Raw genomic sequence first — 18867 nt, forward strand, 5'->3', positions numbered from 1 at the left:
GCCACTTTAGGTAACCATCATACAGATAGATACTCTGGAGAGTCACTTCCCTAGGGCTACCAGGCCTGAATGGAAAGATGTGAGTAAGGCTTTTGCCTCAGCAGGCTGTTTTTTTTTAAAGCCTGCCTATCACTAATTTCCTCAGAAAAATCTGTGAACATACCATGAAAAACAAAGAGATGGTTCCTTAGAAATTTATTGGTTACAAGTATTCCCAACTCTTTCCCTTAACAGTCCAAATTTAATTTTAGGTATCTGAGACCATATTTGAAGATCATTGAAATTACTTTTTTATATTTCCTTACAACTATGGAATTTTTATATTTAACTGAGCTGTTTAAAGTTGAGATAAAATTAATATACAGTTCATCATTTGTATATTTTAAAATATACAAAATATACAATTCACTGGTTTTTAGTATATTCACTGTGTTGTACAACTATCACCACTATCTAATTCCAGAACATTTCTGTCACCCAAAAAAGAAACCTCCTATCTATTAGTTCAGTCCCAATTTCCCTTCCTCTAGTCCTCTGGCAACCATAAATCCATTCTCTTATCTTGACAGATTTACCTATTTCTGAACTTTTCACATAAATGGAATCATATGTGACCTTTTGTATTTGGCTTCTTTCACGTAACATGTTTTCAAGATTCATCCATTTTGTAGCATGTAACAGTACTTCATTCCTTTTTATGGCCAAATAATATTCCATTGTATGGATATACCACATTTGTTTATTCATCAGTTGACAAACATTTGGGTTATTTCCATTTTTTGCTATTTAATGGATAACAGTGCTATAAACATTCATGTACAGATTTTTTTGTGTGAGCATATGTTTTATGTTCTCTTAGGTATATACCTAGGAGTAGAATTGCTGGGTCATATGATAACTCTGTTTAACCTTTTAAAGAACTGCCAAAGTGTTTTCCACAGTGGTTGTATCATTTTACATTTCCACTAGCAAAGTATGAGGGCTCCAAAGATTGAACTTTACAAATTATCTCATCTTGCTTCACACCCAGTAGTCATTTTAAAGGCTTATATATGCAGTTTCCCAAAAACTTAAATATGCCTAATCTCATTGATTTTAGGTTTTCATGGACATGTAACATCAATTTCTTATGTTTTAGGAATTTCTACTATACACGCAAAATGAGTACTTTCAAGCTAAAAACAAAGGTTACGGTGTTCATAGTGTTCAATTTGAAACCATATAAATGTCTGAACAGTAGCTACTGGTATTCTTTTGGATTCCTCAGTATCCATAAAATTCATTTTTTGTTTCTTGCTTATATACATCTTGAATTTGTTATCTTATGATATTTACTATCCTATCACCTTTGTCATTGTGAAGTTTAAGTATTTACCTGTTTACTGAGGATTAAGCAATAATTAGATTATTTCTATACGTTCCCATACTTATTGCTGAGAGTTTATGTAAGAAAAACATATCTTTAAATTGAAATAACTTTACCCTCAGCCAACAGAACTATATGGGAATCTAGATAGTTTCTAAAGAAATAATACTTGTTCAAAGTTTTAATCAAAGCCAATTTTCTACATTAATTTTCCCCACAGAATTCCCTATATCTTTGGCAGTTTTATAATGCTACTCTTTTTTTTATTCATAAGTAGTTGAGTGTCTCCAACTTCAGGCCATACTCCACATTAAAAGTCACCAAGGATCCTGAGCAAAAAGATGTGCACTCCAACTTCACTATCCCAAGCAGCAGCAGTGGTGGTGATGACAGCAGTTAGCAGCAGTTGGCCCTTGCAAATCACAGCCTTGATTTTAGGAGCCAGTCCCTAGATCTGCTAGTGCCATCATCACATCCTGATTGAGCTCCCTGAGAGCTAGGAAGCATGAAGCTTAAGGGAACTGTTAACCTTAGCATCGGGGTCTGCCACTATAAGGGTGTGATAATCATTGTGTGTGGAAGCCATAGTTGATTACATTTCAATCTTAGAGTATTGAAAAAAAGCTGGAGACACTATTCTGAGAGAATTGTTACAAGGCAACAATGATAAAGAAAAGCTTTTCCAGCATTCATCTGCCAAGCTGTTCTATAGATCTGTCACAAACAGGAATTAGATATAAAGTTGTAAAGTCACTGTAACCCAGCCCTTTAAACAAACCTATGTGTAATATATCACCACAAAGTGAGTTACAAAGAACTTTTTTCTTTTGAATTAGAAATATCAGTGGAAAGCATCCCTGCTTCCTTATTAATGGGTAAACCTAAAGCATTAAATGCAAACATTAACAGGACATAAACCATCTGTTATAAGAAAAACATTTTATTTTATTTGGCTATCATAGTTTCTTATAATCAAAGTTTTTATCTCTGTTTTCTAGATAGTAGTTCTGAAATGGAAAGTTCATAGTGACATACTTCTTAATATTATATTCTTCTTGTCTACTTTTTTTGTTTCTCTTGGAAGTCCTTTAATGGTACTAACCTCACATGCCTCTTGGTTTTTCAAATTTGGGGACATTAGCTTTGTGCCTAAAATTAAATAAATGCAATTTTAATTTATGTAAATTATTATTATTATTATTATTATTATTATTGAGACAGGTTCTCTGTCACCCAGGCTGGAGTGCAGTGGCACGATCTCAGCTCATTGCAATCTCTGCCTCCCAGGCTCAAGCAATCGTCCCACCTCAACCTCCCAAGTAGCTGGGACTACAGGCACATGCTACCATACCCAGCTAATTATTATTATTATTTTTTGTAGGGATAGGGTTTGACCACATTGCCTAGGCTGGTCTTGAGCTCAAGCAATCCTCCCACCTTGTCCTTATGTCATTAATTTTTATTTAACATTTTTTTTAATATAATTATTCTACCCCATAGACTACCTTTAACTATACAAGGGTCTCTTGAAACCCTAAACTCAGTCTCATTCTGGATATATCCTATTTTTGTTCCTAACTATCAGTGTAGCCTTGTACAAGTTACTTAACTTCATTGACTATTGTTGGCAGTATGAGGGATTGGAGTAAATCCAGGTTAAATCAACTTGGTAGTACTAATTCAAGTATGAGGTGTAAAAAGTAAGAAACTGTTTTCATGCGATATATCAAAGGCTTCTGAAAGAGATAAAGATGAGTATATTTAGCATAGGAAACAATTTAATTTTGCAAATGGAGTTCCATGGTGACACTGTCCAAGTGTTATACTTTGTTAGGTATCTCCATCATAAGCTTGGCAGGGAAATACTAGTCAGTCACTCTTTCTATGGAAAGATTTCAGAGTACTCATTTAAGAAAGTGAGAGGAACACCCCCAAGATGCCTTCTCTTTCTAGTGCAGACTTTAGTTGACATTATACAGGTTAAGTATTAGAAATCCAAAATCCAAAATGCTCCAAAATCCGAAACTTTTTCAGCACCAACATGATGCTCAAAGGAAATACTCATTGGAGTGTTTCAGATTTTGGATTTTTGGATTAGGGATGTTCAACCGGTAAGTATAATGCAAGTATTCCAAAATTCTAAAAAATCCAAACTCCAAAACAGTTCTGGTCCCAAGCATTTTAGATAAGGGATACTCAAACTATATTGCTCTTCATATCAAAGATATGGAACTTTTCCTCAAATGCAAAAGGAGAACGTGGAGTGGTTTAGTATCTGCACATTATAATAAAGGTGGTAAAGAGCAAAATGAAATGTGTAAATTAATTTTTTAAATGTTAAAATATGTTTTAAAACTGTTTTACTTACAGAATCCTCACTCCAACTGTGGGCCTTTTTTTCCTCATCCAATTTATTCTTTACATTTTATTTATTTATTTTTTAATTTTTTTAGTAGAGACGGGGTTTCACCATCTTGGCCAGGCTGGTCTCAACTCCTGGTTTCAAGTGATCCACCTGCCTCAGCCTCCCAAAGTGCTAGGATTACAGGTGTGAGCCACCATGCCCAGCCTATTATTTATATTTTATTCTGGGAATAAGTATCAACAATGAATAGAAAAGTCTAGAAAGTTATTTTATGTGAGAGTTTCTGATTCTTCAAATCACATTTAAGGAATTTTTTAGAAAATAGCTCTGGAATAACATTTTCCTTTTTTTGTTTTTATTTTTTGAGACAGAATCTCTCTCTATCACCCAGGCTGCAGTACAGGTGACCTGATCTTGGCTTACTGCAACCTCCGCCTCCTGGGTTCAAGCAATCCTCCTGCCTCAGCCTTCCAAGTAGCTGGGATTATAGGTGTGTGTCACCACTCCTGGCTAATTTTTTTTTTTTTTTTTTTCTGTATTTTTAGTAGAGATGGGGTTTTGCCATGTTGGCCAGACTGGTCTCGAACTCCTGGCCTCAAGTGATCTGCCCACCTCAGCCTTCCGAAGTGCTGGGATTACAGGCATGAGCCACCACACCTGGCCCATTTTCCTTTTTTATTCTCTACTTTTTTTGTCTCATTAAAAAATGGGCCAGGCGCAGTGGCTCACACCTGTAATCCCAGCACTTTGGGAGGCTAAGGCAGGTGGATCACTTGAGGTCAGGAGTTCAAGACCAACCTGGCCAACATGGTTAAAGTATGTCTCTCCTAAAAATACAAAAATTAGCCAGGCATGATGGCGGGGACCGCCTGTAATCTCAGCTACTCAGGATGCTGAGACAGGAGAATTGCTTGAACTCAGGAAGCAGAGGTTGCAGTGAGCTGAGATTGTGTCACTGCACTCCAGCCTGGGTGACAGAGCAAGACTCTGTCTCAAAAAAAAAAAAGAAAAAAAGGATTACATACACACACACACACACACACACACACAAACAGATGTTTATTGAGCAATGCTATGAGTAAGACTGTGTCTTAGACCCTGTAGGGAATACAAAGATTAAACAAATCCCTTTCCCTCAAACACTTTACAGCCTACTGGAGGTTGAGGAAAGGGAGAAATCATGTGCACAAGTAGCTACAATAAAAAATTGAATGTGTTAAATGCCAAAAAAGAAAAAGGCACAAAATATTGTTGGGATTCATAGAAGTAAAAGATTTCAATTGGGAGGTTATAACAGAAGTAAAAGATCTGTTTGGGGGGCCATACAAAGTTGATGGGTTCAAAAGACAGAAAGGATTTCAAGAAATAGAACAGATGAGAGTATTCTAGGAAGTACCTATAGCGTGAAAAAAGCAAGATAAGGCTGATAACTAGAAGGAAAGGTTGGGTCTGTTGTACTGATGGATTTTTTTTGTTTGTTTTCAGACACAGTCTCTGTTGCCCAGGCTTGAGTGCAGTGACATGATCTTGGCTCACTGCAACCTCTGCTTCCCAGGTTCAAGTGATTCTTGTGCCTCATCCTCATGAGTGCTGAAGACTATAGGCATGCGCCACCACACCCAGCTAATTTTTGTATTTTTAATAGAGATGGGGTTTTGCCATGTTGGCCAGGCTGGTCTCGAACTCTTGGCCTAAAGTGATCTGCCTGCCTTGGCCTCCCAAAGTGTTGGGATTACAGGCGTGAGCCACCATACCCTGCCCCTGAGATAAATTCTTTAATGGCAGACAAACTTAATTCAGTGGGTAATGAAAGTCATTTAAATTTTTTGTTTTTGTTTTTTGTGGAGTTTCATTTGCTCGTTTGTTTGTTTTAGACACAGGATCTCGCCCTGTTGCCTAGGCTGCGGTGCAGTGGCGTGATCATAGCCCACTGTAACCTCAAACTCCTGGGTTCAAGTGATCCTCCCTTGATGTAAGTTTTGAGTAGAATAACATCATAAAATCTGTGTTTTAGGAAGGTTAGTCTTTCAGAGATCTGGAGCCAGATCTGATACTATCTTCCACCTTGCGTCAGCCCTTCAAAGGCTTTCAATTGCTCTTAAAGAAAAACTTTTTATTGTGGCCTACATACCCCTGTGGTCTAGCCCTTCTTTCTTCTCCAGCCTCATCTCACACCATCCTACCTTGTTCTCCCATTCCGGTCACTCTGACCTTCTTTCATATGTTTCTCATCATAGTCTTTACCACTGTAGCACACAGGTCCAGAATGTTCTCTCCCCTCTTCCCTTGGTTAATTCCTCTTCATCTTTCAGAACTTGAGGAAGTGTTTCCTCCTCACGAAACTTTCCCTGACTTCCCTGACTAGATAAAATATCTCTATACATAGGCCTTTACAACACTATATACTTTTCTTTCTTAGCACTTATCCTGTTTTCAGTTTTATATTTAATTGTATGATTACTTGATTAATGTATGCTTGTCTCACTGTACTTAAAATTTTTAGGGGCTGGCTCATCTTTATTTTTTTTCCTTTTGAGACAGGGTCTCGCTCTGTCACCCAGGCTAAAGTGCAGTGGCACAGTCGCAGCTCACTAAAGCCTTAATCTCCTGAGTTCAAGTGATCCTCCTTCCTCAGCCTCCCGTGCAGCTGGGACCATAGGCATGCACCATCCTGCTCAGCTTTAAAAAAAAAAATTGTAGAGATAGGGGTCTCACTTTGTTGCCCAGGCTGGTCTTGAACTCCTAAACTTAAGTGATCCCCAACCTTGGCCTCCCAAAGTGCTGGGATTACAGGTGTGAGCCACCATGCCCAGCCTATTCATCTTTAAATTTAAAAAAAACAAAACAGAAAAAACAAATAGACCTATCCTTTGTTCTTGACCTCAGGCTATCATCCACTCACCTACCAAACTTCTTGAAGAGCAAGTCTGCTCTCAGTAATTCCAGTGCTTCTCATTAATCCTTTGCATTCTGTATCTTGCCCCCACCTTTTATGGAATTGATTTTCTCAAAGCCTCTACTAGTAACAGCCTAGTTAAACAAAGAGCAATGAGGCAATGAAATGAAAAGGAAGAGACAAATTATGAGAAACACTACAGCTCTAGAATCCACAGGATTTTGAAAAGCTGGGGAAAGTCAAACATAATTTTAAGATATTAAGACAGGTGGCTGTGAAGATACTGATGCCTTCTGGGAAGTAGGTAGGAAGAACTGATTGGAAGAGATGATGCATTTGTTTTTATTTTATATTTATTTATTTATTTATGAGACAGAGTTACGCTCTTGTTGCCCAAGCTGGAGTGCAATGGCACAATCTCGGCTCACCGCAACCCCCGCCTCCCAGGTTCAAGCAATTCTCCGGCCTCAGCCTCCGAAGTAGTTGGGATTACAGGCATGCGCCACCATGCCCGTCTAATTTTTGTATTTTTAGTAGAGACAGGATTTTACCATGTTGGCCAGGCTGGTCCCGAACTTCTGACCTCAGATGATTCACCCGCCTTGGCCTCCCAAAGTGCTGGGATTATAGGCATGAGCCATCGTGCCTGGCAATGCACTTGGTTTTATACCTGTTTTGCAAGTGCTGAGACTTCCTGTTCAATTTAAGATTTAGGCAGATTATCAGTTAGATGGCTCCCTGACAGGAGTTGAAAATGTGGAACTAGAGCTGAAGAATGGTGATGAAAATCAGAGACCTAGATTTTAGTGTCAGCATTGGGATGGATGAAATGGCAAGAGGCAGAGGATGTTAAATGCAGAGTCAAGATGGGACAGAACTTTGTGGGACAGCTGGATCAAGGCCAAGGATGCCTGAAGAATACAGAGAAAGCAGAAAAGGGGAGGGAGGGGAAACAGACACTTTGAGCACCAACTAAATGCAAACACTGCTAGACTCTACATTATTTTATTTGATTCTCACAATTCAGTCTGGTAATTTGGTAGTGTTCCACTCACCAACGGAAGAAATAGGCTCTGTAAAAACATATACTTTGCCCAAGGTCAGAGCTAAGATTCAGACTCAGACCCTATCTGACTTCAAAATATGTACTTTGCACTGCAGTGTGCCTCAGACAGGTATGTAATCAACCAGAACACTGTTAAAGAGTCCAAAGTAAGTTTAAGTGTCAAGAAAAATGTAGTAACTACCTTTCTAGAGATGAAGTAGTTGCTGTCTGCTAAACGAAAATGAGAATAAGGACTAAGGACTGTGGTCCTGGCAATTAGGTGGTGTGGGTAACCTTCAAGAAAGCAGTTTCTACAGAATGATAGGAGTGGAGACCAGATTGCAAAGGCTGCTATAGTATTACATATGGTGTTGGGGCACTAGACGGAGCAAATGCCGACTACTCTTTTCTTATGGTTGGCAAAAGCAGAAAGGAGAGGGAGTTTATAATCCAATATGATATGATAAATTGTCAGAAGATTCTCAGGATAGTGGAAGTTTGAGCATTTTGGTAGCAGAGGGGAAGGAGACGTTAGACAGGCAAGGCTGGAAGAACTAGAGGGTAACTGGTGGAATGTGGCCCATGAAGAGACTGGGAATGACATCAAAGGTGTATTTGCCTCTTTTTCTTTCCTAACTCCTTTCACCCACTTTCCTACATATCTGCAACATATTTCTCTCTCCTTGCCTTAAATGTCAGTGTTATTTGGTAACATTTTGCCTCCTGTTCTTAATTTCAAAAGTGCAGAAACCAAACCTTGTATATTTCAGCTCCCAAAAACCCATATTGTTAATTTTCATTACTGTTACATTCATTACTGTATTATTAGTTTCATTCTGGCTCTGATTGATTCTTACCTCCCTTTCTCCACAGGTCAATTATTCCCCTAGGAGAATTAATTTAGGCATTTCTGAGCTTGAGTTGTACAGCCACTATGTTTAATTATGGTGACTAACCTTTATTTTCTCATATTCATGACTTTTACCTTCCCCTGCCTTCTCACCTTCCATGACCCACAAGTCGGTTTTAGGAACATAAACATGTAATTTACCAAAAGCAAAAAGCATATATATATATATAATATATATATACACACACACACACATATATATATATATACACACACATAAACACACACACACACACGTAAGTTTCTACATGAGAATAAGAGAATTTCCATTTATCCAATATTGTGTTTGGACAATATGTAAACAGTGCTAAACCAGGAAAGATACCTATAGTAAGTGAGGTAAATTTGAAGCAGTTTTCTTACCAAAACATAATCTCCATGCAGTCAAATACATTGTCTGGATTACTTTTGTCTTCCTAGTGCCAAGCACTTACTCTAGCACTTAGTAAGCATTCAGTGAATATTTGTTGATACATCAAAAGAATGAATGGATGGGAAAAACTTGGATAAATTATTGTTGATATTATGGACTTATGGCATAGATTTGATAACACTGGTAAAATTGCATTGCACGTGAAAAAACAAAAATAGTTGCTTACTATTGTGACTGAAGAAAAGACTTTCATTATAGAGATGTAATCTGTATAATGATTCATATTTTCCCATGTGAATACAGTCTGATAAAGATGGGACTATTTAGCCTTAAAAGAATTGCTACTTTTAACCAAATCCAGCATTGCCTTTTTGCAAATACAATTTTTATAAAATCTTTAATAAAATTAACAAAAAACAAAGTTAGATGTAAATGTGAGATTATCTTTTAATTCATTAGTTATAAAATTAGTAAACACTTTAACTTTTTAAAATGTTTCTTTGATTCAAAACTTTATTCCAAATATTGCTTTTATCTTCCATGGACGTAACTGTTTTCTGTGGACTGACAAAATAGAAGAATTGGTTATAGAGCAGTTAATCACCAGGTCGATAGAGGTGGCACTAAGTCTTTTAGTTATTTATCTGATGCATCACAGATACAATTCTGGAGAATTCTTTAAATGTTTTACATGTTGATATTTGTTCGTTGAATTGGAAGCATTTATCAAATATTAATGGGTCCTAATGGAAATTTTTTACTCAAGAGGCAAACTCTTCCTTTAACTAGTTTTACTGAATGTATTTTAAAACATAGCCTTGCAAACTTAAATGAAAGTTATAAGGAGAAAAAAATTATTCCCAGGTGTATTAAGAGTGCTCGTTAAATTCAAGATCCTGATCACCGAGTGTGTTTTCTCCTCTGTTGTTAAACACTTCCATTTAGATTGTATATTATAGAGACTCAACAGCTTTTAAATATTCTTCCTGCCTCTGGCTTTTCTCATTCTGATAATTCCAGTTAACCAATAAAGTCCTGTGGTTTTTGGAAGCAAAATTCAAATGCTTCCATTTTATTCCTTGTTTAAATATTTTTACAAAGTTTTAAAGCAGATTTTACAAGCCAGAATGGTGAAAAAGAGCCTGGAATTTTCTGCTTCTCACTATTGGCTGTTTGTGTTGTCCCACCATTCGCTTTGAATGAGTTTGGGATTTGGCTGTTTGTCATTTTAGTACAGCTCAAGTATAATCTGCCTTAAAGATGGGAACATATCAGAATACACAAGGCTTAACATTGAAAATTCCGAGTGCAGCAAAAGCACTTCAGAAACTGCTCAAAACTGCTTGGTGAACACCTGCAATTTTTGTGGTGGTGAAAAGACATTACAGTAATTGAATCTCCAGGACTATTTCCATTTTATTTATATACTAATTTTCTTTTCAGTGAGTTTTGAGGCCCCACATTATAATGTTTTTTATCACTTACAGGTTTTTCATTGCAATGAGTGACAAATCTGCTGCACTGCAAAAATGTTTCATGAGAATAAAAAAATTGCCAGGTTATAACTAGTATTATTCTGGTTTCAGTGCAGAAAAAAATGTTGCTCTAAAATACTAAGACTTACACAACTTTTACATGCTCCAAAATCAATCAAGTTCCCAAACATATAAAATTAAGTGCCACTAGCTAATTCTTTGCAGCCAAGGTTATACATTGAGATAGAAGGTTATACATTGAAAGTAGGAGTAAAATCTATACTCCTTCTCCAGGGGGAAAAAAATGCACATTTGAAAAAATAAAAGCCTTTTTATAATTTGAAGGAGTCTATGAACCCCTGCATCTCAAGTTAAGATAAGGAAGTGGAGTCAGTAAACGTTGGCTTCTCTTTTGAGGAACCTGATGATAAGGGTAGGAAAGAGATTGAACAGTAACCATTTGTTTTGGATAGAAACAGACTTAAGCATACGGTATGGAGAAGGAGCCAATAAAGAAAAATAATTTGAAGCTGCGGGCAAGGTAGATACACATGATGGAACAGGGCAGGTCTCAGAGGAGGCACAAGGAAATGTGATCATGGCACAGGCAGATGGAATAGTGTGAACAGGAGAGAAATACTACATCTTCTGAGACAGGAAGAAAAGAACAGCGTGGCTGCAGATGCATTTATAGGTAGAAGGGAGAGATTTTTACATCATGCCTAACAACTTCATTTTTCAGTGAAGTAGGGTATGAGGTTCTCTTCTAAGAGTACAGAAGTTACGGTTGTATAAAGAGTGAAAACACAATTGACCCTTGAACAACATGGGTTTATGGGTTTGAACTGTGCAAGTCCACTTCTATGCGGATATTTTTCCACCTCTGCCACACTTAAGATAGCAAGACCAACCCCACTTCTCTTTCTCCTCCTCCTCAGCCTACTCAATGTGAAGACAAGGATAAAGACCTTTATGATGATCTACTTCCACTTAATGAATAGTAAATATATTTTCTCTTCTTTATGATTTGCTTAACATTTTTTTTCCTCTAGCTTACTTTATTATAAGGATCTAATACATATCCTTACATATGCATTATGTAATATTTATTATAAGCATATAACATAAAATATGTGTTAATCGACTGCTTATGTTGTCTCTAAGGCTTCTGGTCAACAGTAGGCTATTTATAGTTAAGTTTTGGGGAGTCAAAAGTTATATACAGATTTTCAACTGCATGGGGGAGGGGGTCAGTGTCCCTAATGCCTGCATTGCTCAGGGGTCAACTGTAATGATAATGGAGTAGTCATTGAGAGGATCCAGAAAAGGAGCTAATTCAGGGTGAGAGAAAATTGACAAGTGACATTAAGTATCCAGATGAGGCTACAGATCATGGATTTGTAGTGGTATCGACCTTCAGGGTTCCCTTCTTCCCCATATCTCCATACCACCAGTAGTTTCCAGCCATCTATTATAGGTATGGAGAAAGCAGATTGCAACATTTATCTCAGGGTGTAGGTTTTGCTAGGTAGAAAAGCTAAAGCAAGGATGCAAGAGGTTTGGAAGAGTACTAATGAGATAATAGTTCAAAAAATCAAGACAAATATAAGGAAGAAAAGTAGAGTTACCTAGAAAGAAAATTGGTCATCCTCATCAAATAATTCTTGTGTTTCTCCCCCCAAAATGGTATCTTCAGCTCTGACATCTCTCCTAAATCGTAGACCAAATTTTTTTTTATTTTTTGCTGGGCACCTTCATTTGGATATCTCCCAAGCATTTCAAACTCTCAAATTTGAGATTAAGTCATTTTGCCTTTCAAATGGCCCCTTTTGGTGGCATTGGTATCCTCCTAATTACCCAGAATTGTGCTTCTCTTTATCTCTCATATCTAATCAATTGCTAAGTCCTTTTAGTTCTGTATACAGTTAGCTTTCTCCATTGCCACTGCTACTAACCCACATTAGGCCTTCATTACTTGCCTAGACTGCTGCAATTATAGCCCTCCCAAGCAGGTCTCCTTGCCGTGTGTCTCTTCATTCAACTAGTCCATCCTTCCCTCTAGCTTTAAAAATCATCTCACTGAAGCTTAACTCTGATCAAGGCAGGCCTTTGTTCAGCAACTTAGTGACTTCCCAGCTCCTACCAGATAATTTTGCATGAAATTCAAGGCCCTTCAGAAGTGGCCCCAACTTACCTATTCACCTTATTTCCCTTTTATGTCTTCACATTATGTCCACTGACTGTTTCCCCCACAATCATCTTCAATAGGACTTGACCTATGCTTGAAACTTATTTTCTTTTCATATCTGCCTATTCTAGCCTTCAAGATCCAGTTCAAATGTTACCAACTCCTTAGAAGCCTTCCTTAACACCCCACAGTCAGAAATAATACCTCCCTTGTATAAACCCCCTTAAGTAAGACCTCTCATTGGGCCCTTCTGCTTTGTTACACATTTATATAAAAATCTCATTTTCTTTACTATCCGATTTCTTCCAAAAGTGTAGTTAACAAGTATAACAAATAAACAGAACTACACAAATTTATTCAATTCAGAACTTTAACACAGCTTCACATCAGTTGTTTTCAATACTGGCTATACATTAGAATTACATGGGGAGGTTTTAAAAAAATACTAATGGCTGATTCAAAGATTTTGATTCATTGGTCTTGGGTGGGGCATGGGCATAAGAATTTTTTAAGTTCCCCAAGTGATTCTAATTTGTGCAGGCAGAATTGAGAACCACTGTCTTAATTCTAGTGCACATTGGTGTGCTAAGTAGAGAAGTGCTAAATCAGTTGACTTAGCTGCATATACCAGGATTTGCTTGGTTAGAGGTACTTAACCTTTTTTCTAAAATCGTTAATAGTTTGAAAGGTTCCTCTTGACTATCACAAAGGAAGGGTGAATTAGAAACAGCAAAACTGTTGGTTTTCATTTGTACGTTTTATTTGGTTATGACAGATTTCAAAAATTATTTGAAGAGTATATCCAAGTGGGTCTTTGAAAATTGTAAGATCTACTCAGTTCTTAAAATGAATCAGACATGTGAACTTGTGTGGTCTAGCGGTTAGAAGTGTAGACTAGTGGGAGTACTTCTGGGGTTATTTGTTCATCTTTTACTGACTTACATGACCTTAAGAAAGTCACTTGAGCCTCAACATTTCCTGCAACTTCACAGAAAGGTTGAAGACCAACAAGTCAGTCTCATAAAAAAAAAATTTAACAAACTTGGAAATCACGATAGCTTCTTAGGTTTGACTGAGTTGTTGAGATCTTTCCTGCCACAAAGGGAACAACTAGGAAAGAACTGGCATTCAGGAGAAGCTCTCTAGCTCCAATTTAGAAAGTTTCCCACCATCCATTTTAAAGTATCTGAATGTTTTAGCCGGATGTGGTGGTGCTTGCCTGTAGTCTCGGCTATTTGGGAGGCTGAGGTAGAAGGATTGCTTGAGCCCAGGAGTTTGAGGCTGCAGTGAGCTGTGATTGCACCACTGCACCTCAGCCTGGGTGACAGAGCCAGACCATGTCTCTTAAAAAAAGTGTCTGAATTTTAAATTTAGCTCTGACCTCTTGGCATTTGTTTCCTTATCAATTATAAAACCATATTTACTGAAAAACAACATCAATAACAGCAGTTTAGCAAAGTACCACAAAGTAGTTACCTATGCATGTGGCCCAGTCCATGTTATTTTATGGAAAAACAAAAACTCTTCAACAGGGTGACAGGTTCGTTCTCTATGCCCAGGGAGCTATTGTGTTACTTTGGGGAGGAAGCCAGGGGCCACATGTGAGACAGATGTTTTCGGTGTCTCACTAATGGAGTTGAATCTTCTGCCTTTTCCTCAATAACAAACAAGCAAGGCAGAGAAAGAGTTAATATTAAACATGAAATTGTAATTACTTTCATGCTAAGGAGCATGCAGTATATATTGTATATTTTATCTAACATACAGATAAAATTCCTTTTGAAAGTATATACCAGACTTTTTTTTCAGTATCTGAGAGAGGCATTTTGCAAAATGTCTGGGGTTTGTATGGAGCCCTGCAATTTCTGGAAATAGGTGACATTTTGACCCTTGGTGTTACTGGTCACAGCTCTTCATTTCAGTTTTGATTGTATGGGTGTGCAAACAGGTATTTTGGTTTAATCCTTGATCATTTACCACTTGTTCTTGTAGAAAAGGGAGAAATCTCTACTCAAGTTTTAGAAGAAGATAAAATATGGGTAAGGTGACAGTTGTTACTGCCATGCAGGAAGAAAATATTGGGGCTTGATAGATAAGCAAATAAACAAGATACCTTTGTGATAAAGGTCTCCACTTTTAGCACTCTTCTTAGCCAGTATGACCCTCAATAATTCCTTTACCATCTCCAAAGCTTCAGGTACTTCAGCTCTCAAAAGGAAAGTGACTGGATAGGTTGCACCTAAAACACATTTGGGAAAATTAAGTGTGATTTCCTCAAATATAACCGTATAGCCTCCTAAAATAAGACTATGCTGTTAAACCTCTTCTTTTAGATTCTTTACTTACCCAACCCATTATTAATTAGTGCCTCATCTATCCCAGACGGCTTTTGCGTTTGTTTGATTGTAAGCCTTCAAAGTGTCAGGTATTATAATACCCATTTGTTTTAATTGGTTAAAGTGATAAACATAGTGCCTGTGCATGTACACATTGAAGGTATGGCTGTTTGACAGAAATAATCTTCCTACCTTCTCCTTCCCAGCCCTAACTTCTGAAGGGTGAGAGAATGAGTGTTTAAAAAAATTTTCTTTTCAGCCCAATGTTATCTTTTAGCAGTCTTTACATCTTCATCACCTTTATGCATGGTAATCAGCAGAACAGGTCTCCCTACTGCAGCAGAACTCTGCATGAACCCAGTAATTTCTCAAATCTGATAGGTACAGAAAAGTGTGTGGCCTTTCACTTCCTGTCCCTTCCTCCAACCCCAAACCATAGAGAAGCATGCTTTCTGGTGACATTTTATTCACATAGACATTCTCACAGCTCTTTATTCTGTAAGAAAGATTATGTGGAGTATGAGGAGTGTTGTTCCGTGTCATTTTATAACTGCCTACTCGTTTGATTTTGCAAATTTGGAAATAAATTATGAACGCTCAGGAAAATCCTTCTATGAGAGAGTTATTACTTCTGTCCAGTTTTGAAAGTCAGGTTTGCAGCTATCTGTGCTATATCATTTTAGGAAGGTGCCTGATGTGATCTTCACACGTATCACCTAGGATTATTCAGGAAAGGATAATTCAGATTGTGGAGCTACAATATGGAGTTTCCAGTGGTTCAGTATGAGTGCAGTGAGCAAGACAATAGGGACCAGAATGGGGAAGGCCACTTAAAAATCCAAGTTCATGGCTGGCCACAGTGGGTCACAAGGTCAGGAGTTTGAGACCAGCCTGGCCAACACGCTGAAACCCCATCTCTAATAAAAATACATAAATTAGCTAGGCGTGGTGGTGGGCACCTGTAATGCCAGCTACTCGGGAGGCTGAGGCAGGAGAATCGCCTGAACCCAGGAGGCAGAAGTTGCAGTGAGCCGAGATCGTGCCACTGCACTCTAGCCTGGGCGACAGAGCAAGACTCTGTCTCAAAAAAAGAAAAAAATCCAAGTTCGTTACTGACTTTTATTGTACTCCACGAGATAAAAAACATAGAGATTCATCAGTTTAGCTCTACTTGCTCAATAAACCACAACTTTAACTCTTTATATATATTTTTCTGTTGACAGAATACAAACTGGTGACTTCCAAAATTATGGGTACCTTACTTCTGAGGTTTAGTCAAGAGTTTGTACAGCTCTAAATCCTTGGATAGAAGGTTTTAATAAAAATGCCAACTTTTAATTAAAAATCTCTCTCTTGATTCAGTTATCTTGCCCAAACTTGGAAACTCTTCTTACTACTGTATATAATAATTCCTGTTAACCAGATGTTGTTTGATAGCTCAGTAATAACAAATGGAGGGTACTTGTCCTAACCTGATTTACATTCTTTCCTTTTGATGTGTAGCATATGTGGAGCAGTCAGCTAAATAAAGGTCTTATCAATAAGATGCAGTTTGACACTTGGCTTTTTGCTTTTGTTGTTACGCCACTTACCATATGGTAAAGAATTGTTATAGAAGGATATCTGTATTTTCAGAAGTGAGGTTTGAATTGGTGGAGGTTTCATGAGCAGTTTCCTCATTTGTGATTTATACATTGTAAGTTTTTATCATGTGAGTTGTTTTCAAATTATATTCACCAGCAGATAGCCTGTGTTAAGCCATCTTAAGTGTCACCTTTTGAGGTTTTTATTCATACTTAAAAGCAATTGAAAGAAATAACTTTCAACAGAAATCTTTTGTTTTTACTTACAGCCAATCACATTCTCTGCTGATTATTTTAATAAGTATTTCCTGCATAAAACACATTAAATATCAGCTGTAGTATAAATTACTGTTTTTTATTTACATAGAAGTTATTTGGGCCCACCATGTTATTATGGGGTTTTGCTTGTTTGTTTTGTTTATGTTTTAGAGACAAGGTCTGTCTCGCTGTTTCATCCAGGTTGGAGTACAGTGACATGATCATAGCGCACTGTAAACTTGAACTCCTGGGGTCAAGTTTACAAGTTGTGGGAACCGATCCTCCCACCTCAGCCTCTTGTTGGGACTTCAGGCGTGCACCTCCACACTCAACTAATTTTTTTATTTTTAGTAGAGATGGGATCTTGCTCTGTTGCCCAGACTGGTCTCAAGTTCCAGGCCTCAAACAGTCTTCCTACCTCAGCCTTCCAATGCACTGGGATTGCAGGTATAAGTCACCACTCCCATCCTGGATTTATTTGATATTCACTATTAGAAGTTGCAAGATTGGAATAGAGGCTTGAGTCCCTTTCATTGTGTATTGGGGTAGGAGTTGTTCATTAATGAAAAAATTAAACAGGTAAGTAATTAGTATATCATAATTTATACTGCACAGATAAAGGAATAAGGAGAAAAGAGGAGCCTGGGGAGTCAATTTAACAAAAGAAAAAGAGAGGAAGCAGGTGTTTGGTAAGATCTTGCAATTGTACTTCAAAGAAAGATAACCTGAAAGTAAACATTTTTATTTTGTATGTTTCTCTTTCTGTGAGACAAGAGTCTTGCTCTGTCACCCAGGCTGGAGTGCAGTGGTGCGATCTCGGCTTACTGCAACCCCCACCTCCAGGGTTCAAGTGATTCTTGTGCCTCATCCTCCCAAGTAGCTGGGACTACAGGCATGTGCCACCATGCCCAGCTAATTTTTGTATTTTTAGTAGAGATGGGGTTTCACCATGTTGGCCAGGCTTGTCTTGAACTCCTGGCCAAAAGTGATCCGCCCGCATCAGCCTCCCAAAGTGCTGGGATTACAGGCATGAGCCACTGTGCCCAGTCTATTTTATGATATATTTCTGTGGGGTTGGACATGTTTTGTTTTATATTTTGAAGTACTGAATTTGGACAGTTTGGACAATATTTATATTATGGGGCACTACGCTTTAAGAAAATGATAAGCTAGAAGTGAGTATAGGAAAGAACACCACTGCAAACACCAATCCCAATAGGGAGTAGTCAGATGGCATCTATAAGGAAAGATTAAAAAGACTTGGAATTAACTGAGAATCATTTTCAAGAATATGAAGGAATAACTTCAAGAGCTTTCGTACCCCCCCACCAAAAACACCCACAAAAGTTCCATGAAGAAGAAAATAAAATCCTGCAAGAGACATTTAGATTATATATGAGAAACAGTGTCTAGAATTTAAGGTTTATTAACTGTTGCAGCATGCTACACATAGAAGTGTAGAATCTCCATCCTTCAAAATCATGTAGGTAGTTTATTAGCAGTTTTGTGAAAAGAGACCAAATCACTATATTAAGAAAGGGTCTATTCTGCTTACTTTGGTGAGACTTTAAAAAAAAACACGGGGGTGGGGGCTTTGGGTCTCATTTAATTCTTAATAGAAGGAGACTGAAAGGGAGTATAAATCCCCAAAACAGTTGAGTCTTCATTTTGCTGATACTTTCTGCTATTCTCATTTACCTAAAAAAAATAAAAATATACCCCATGCAAGAATAGTGATAGCCAGAATTACACAGAAATAAAGACCTATAGATAACAAGCATTGGTGAAGATACCTGGAAAAGGGAACCCTTGAACATTGTCAGTGGGAGTGTAAATTAGTACAGCCATTATGGAGAACAATGTGGAGGTTCCTCAAGAAATTAAAAATAGGCCGGGCACTGTGGCTCATGCCTGTAATCCCAGCACTTTGGGAGGCCAAGGTGGGTGGATCATGAGGTCAGGAGTTCGAGATCAGCCTGGCCAACATGGTGAAACCCCGTCTCTACTAAAAATAGAAAAATCAGCCAGGCGTGGTGGCATGTGCCTGTAATCCCAGCTACTCGGGAGGCTGA

At 37.8% G+C, this 18867-nt stretch overlaps 2 protein-coding genes across 4 annotated transcripts in view, besides 1 other annotated feature; one reads left to right on the forward strand and one right to left on the reverse strand.

Annotated features, from left to right (window-relative positions):
• Window positions 1-18504, reverse strand: part of GLMN (glomulin, FKBP associated protein) — a 124443-nt gene extending 105939 nt beyond the window's left edge. Inside the window, exon 1 of the mRNA XM_011540546.3 lies at window positions 14732-18504. The gene's annotated coding sequence lies outside the window, so the exon portion shown is untranslated. The remainder of the gene's footprint in view (window positions 1-14731) is intronic.
• The window catches only part of RPAP2 (RNA polymerase II associated protein 2), a 102998-nt gene that overhangs the window by 53282 nt on the left and 30849 nt on the right, over window positions 1-18867 (forward strand). The window contains exon 12 of one of the 3 annotated variants that reach the window (XM_047430820.1): window positions 11369-11430. The exons of 1 other annotated variant lie outside the window; for it this stretch is intronic. In XM_047430820.1, the coding sequence (XP_047286776.1) occupies window positions 11369-11430 (62 nt within the window). Of the gene's footprint in view, window positions 1-5216; window positions 5559-11368; window positions 11431-18867 lie in introns of those variants that run through there. One more of the 3 variants, XM_017002363.3, reaches the window with a different exon arrangement.
• Window positions 13369-13418: an enhancer, noted in NCBI's record as "active region_1313". NCBI's record gives its function as "activates an Ori minimal core promoter by ATAC-STARR-seq in GM12878 lymphoblastoid cells {active_cell/tissue: GM12878}" and the evidence as "EXISTENCE:reporter gene assay evidence [ECO:0000049][PMID:35858748]".

Source organism: Homo sapiens, chromosome 1 (assembly GCF_000001405.40).
Source record: "Homo sapiens chromosome 1, GRCh38.p14 Primary Assembly".
In the NCBI taxonomy this organism is placed as follows: domain Eukaryota; kingdom Metazoa; phylum Chordata; class Mammalia; order Primates; family Hominidae; genus Homo; species Homo sapiens.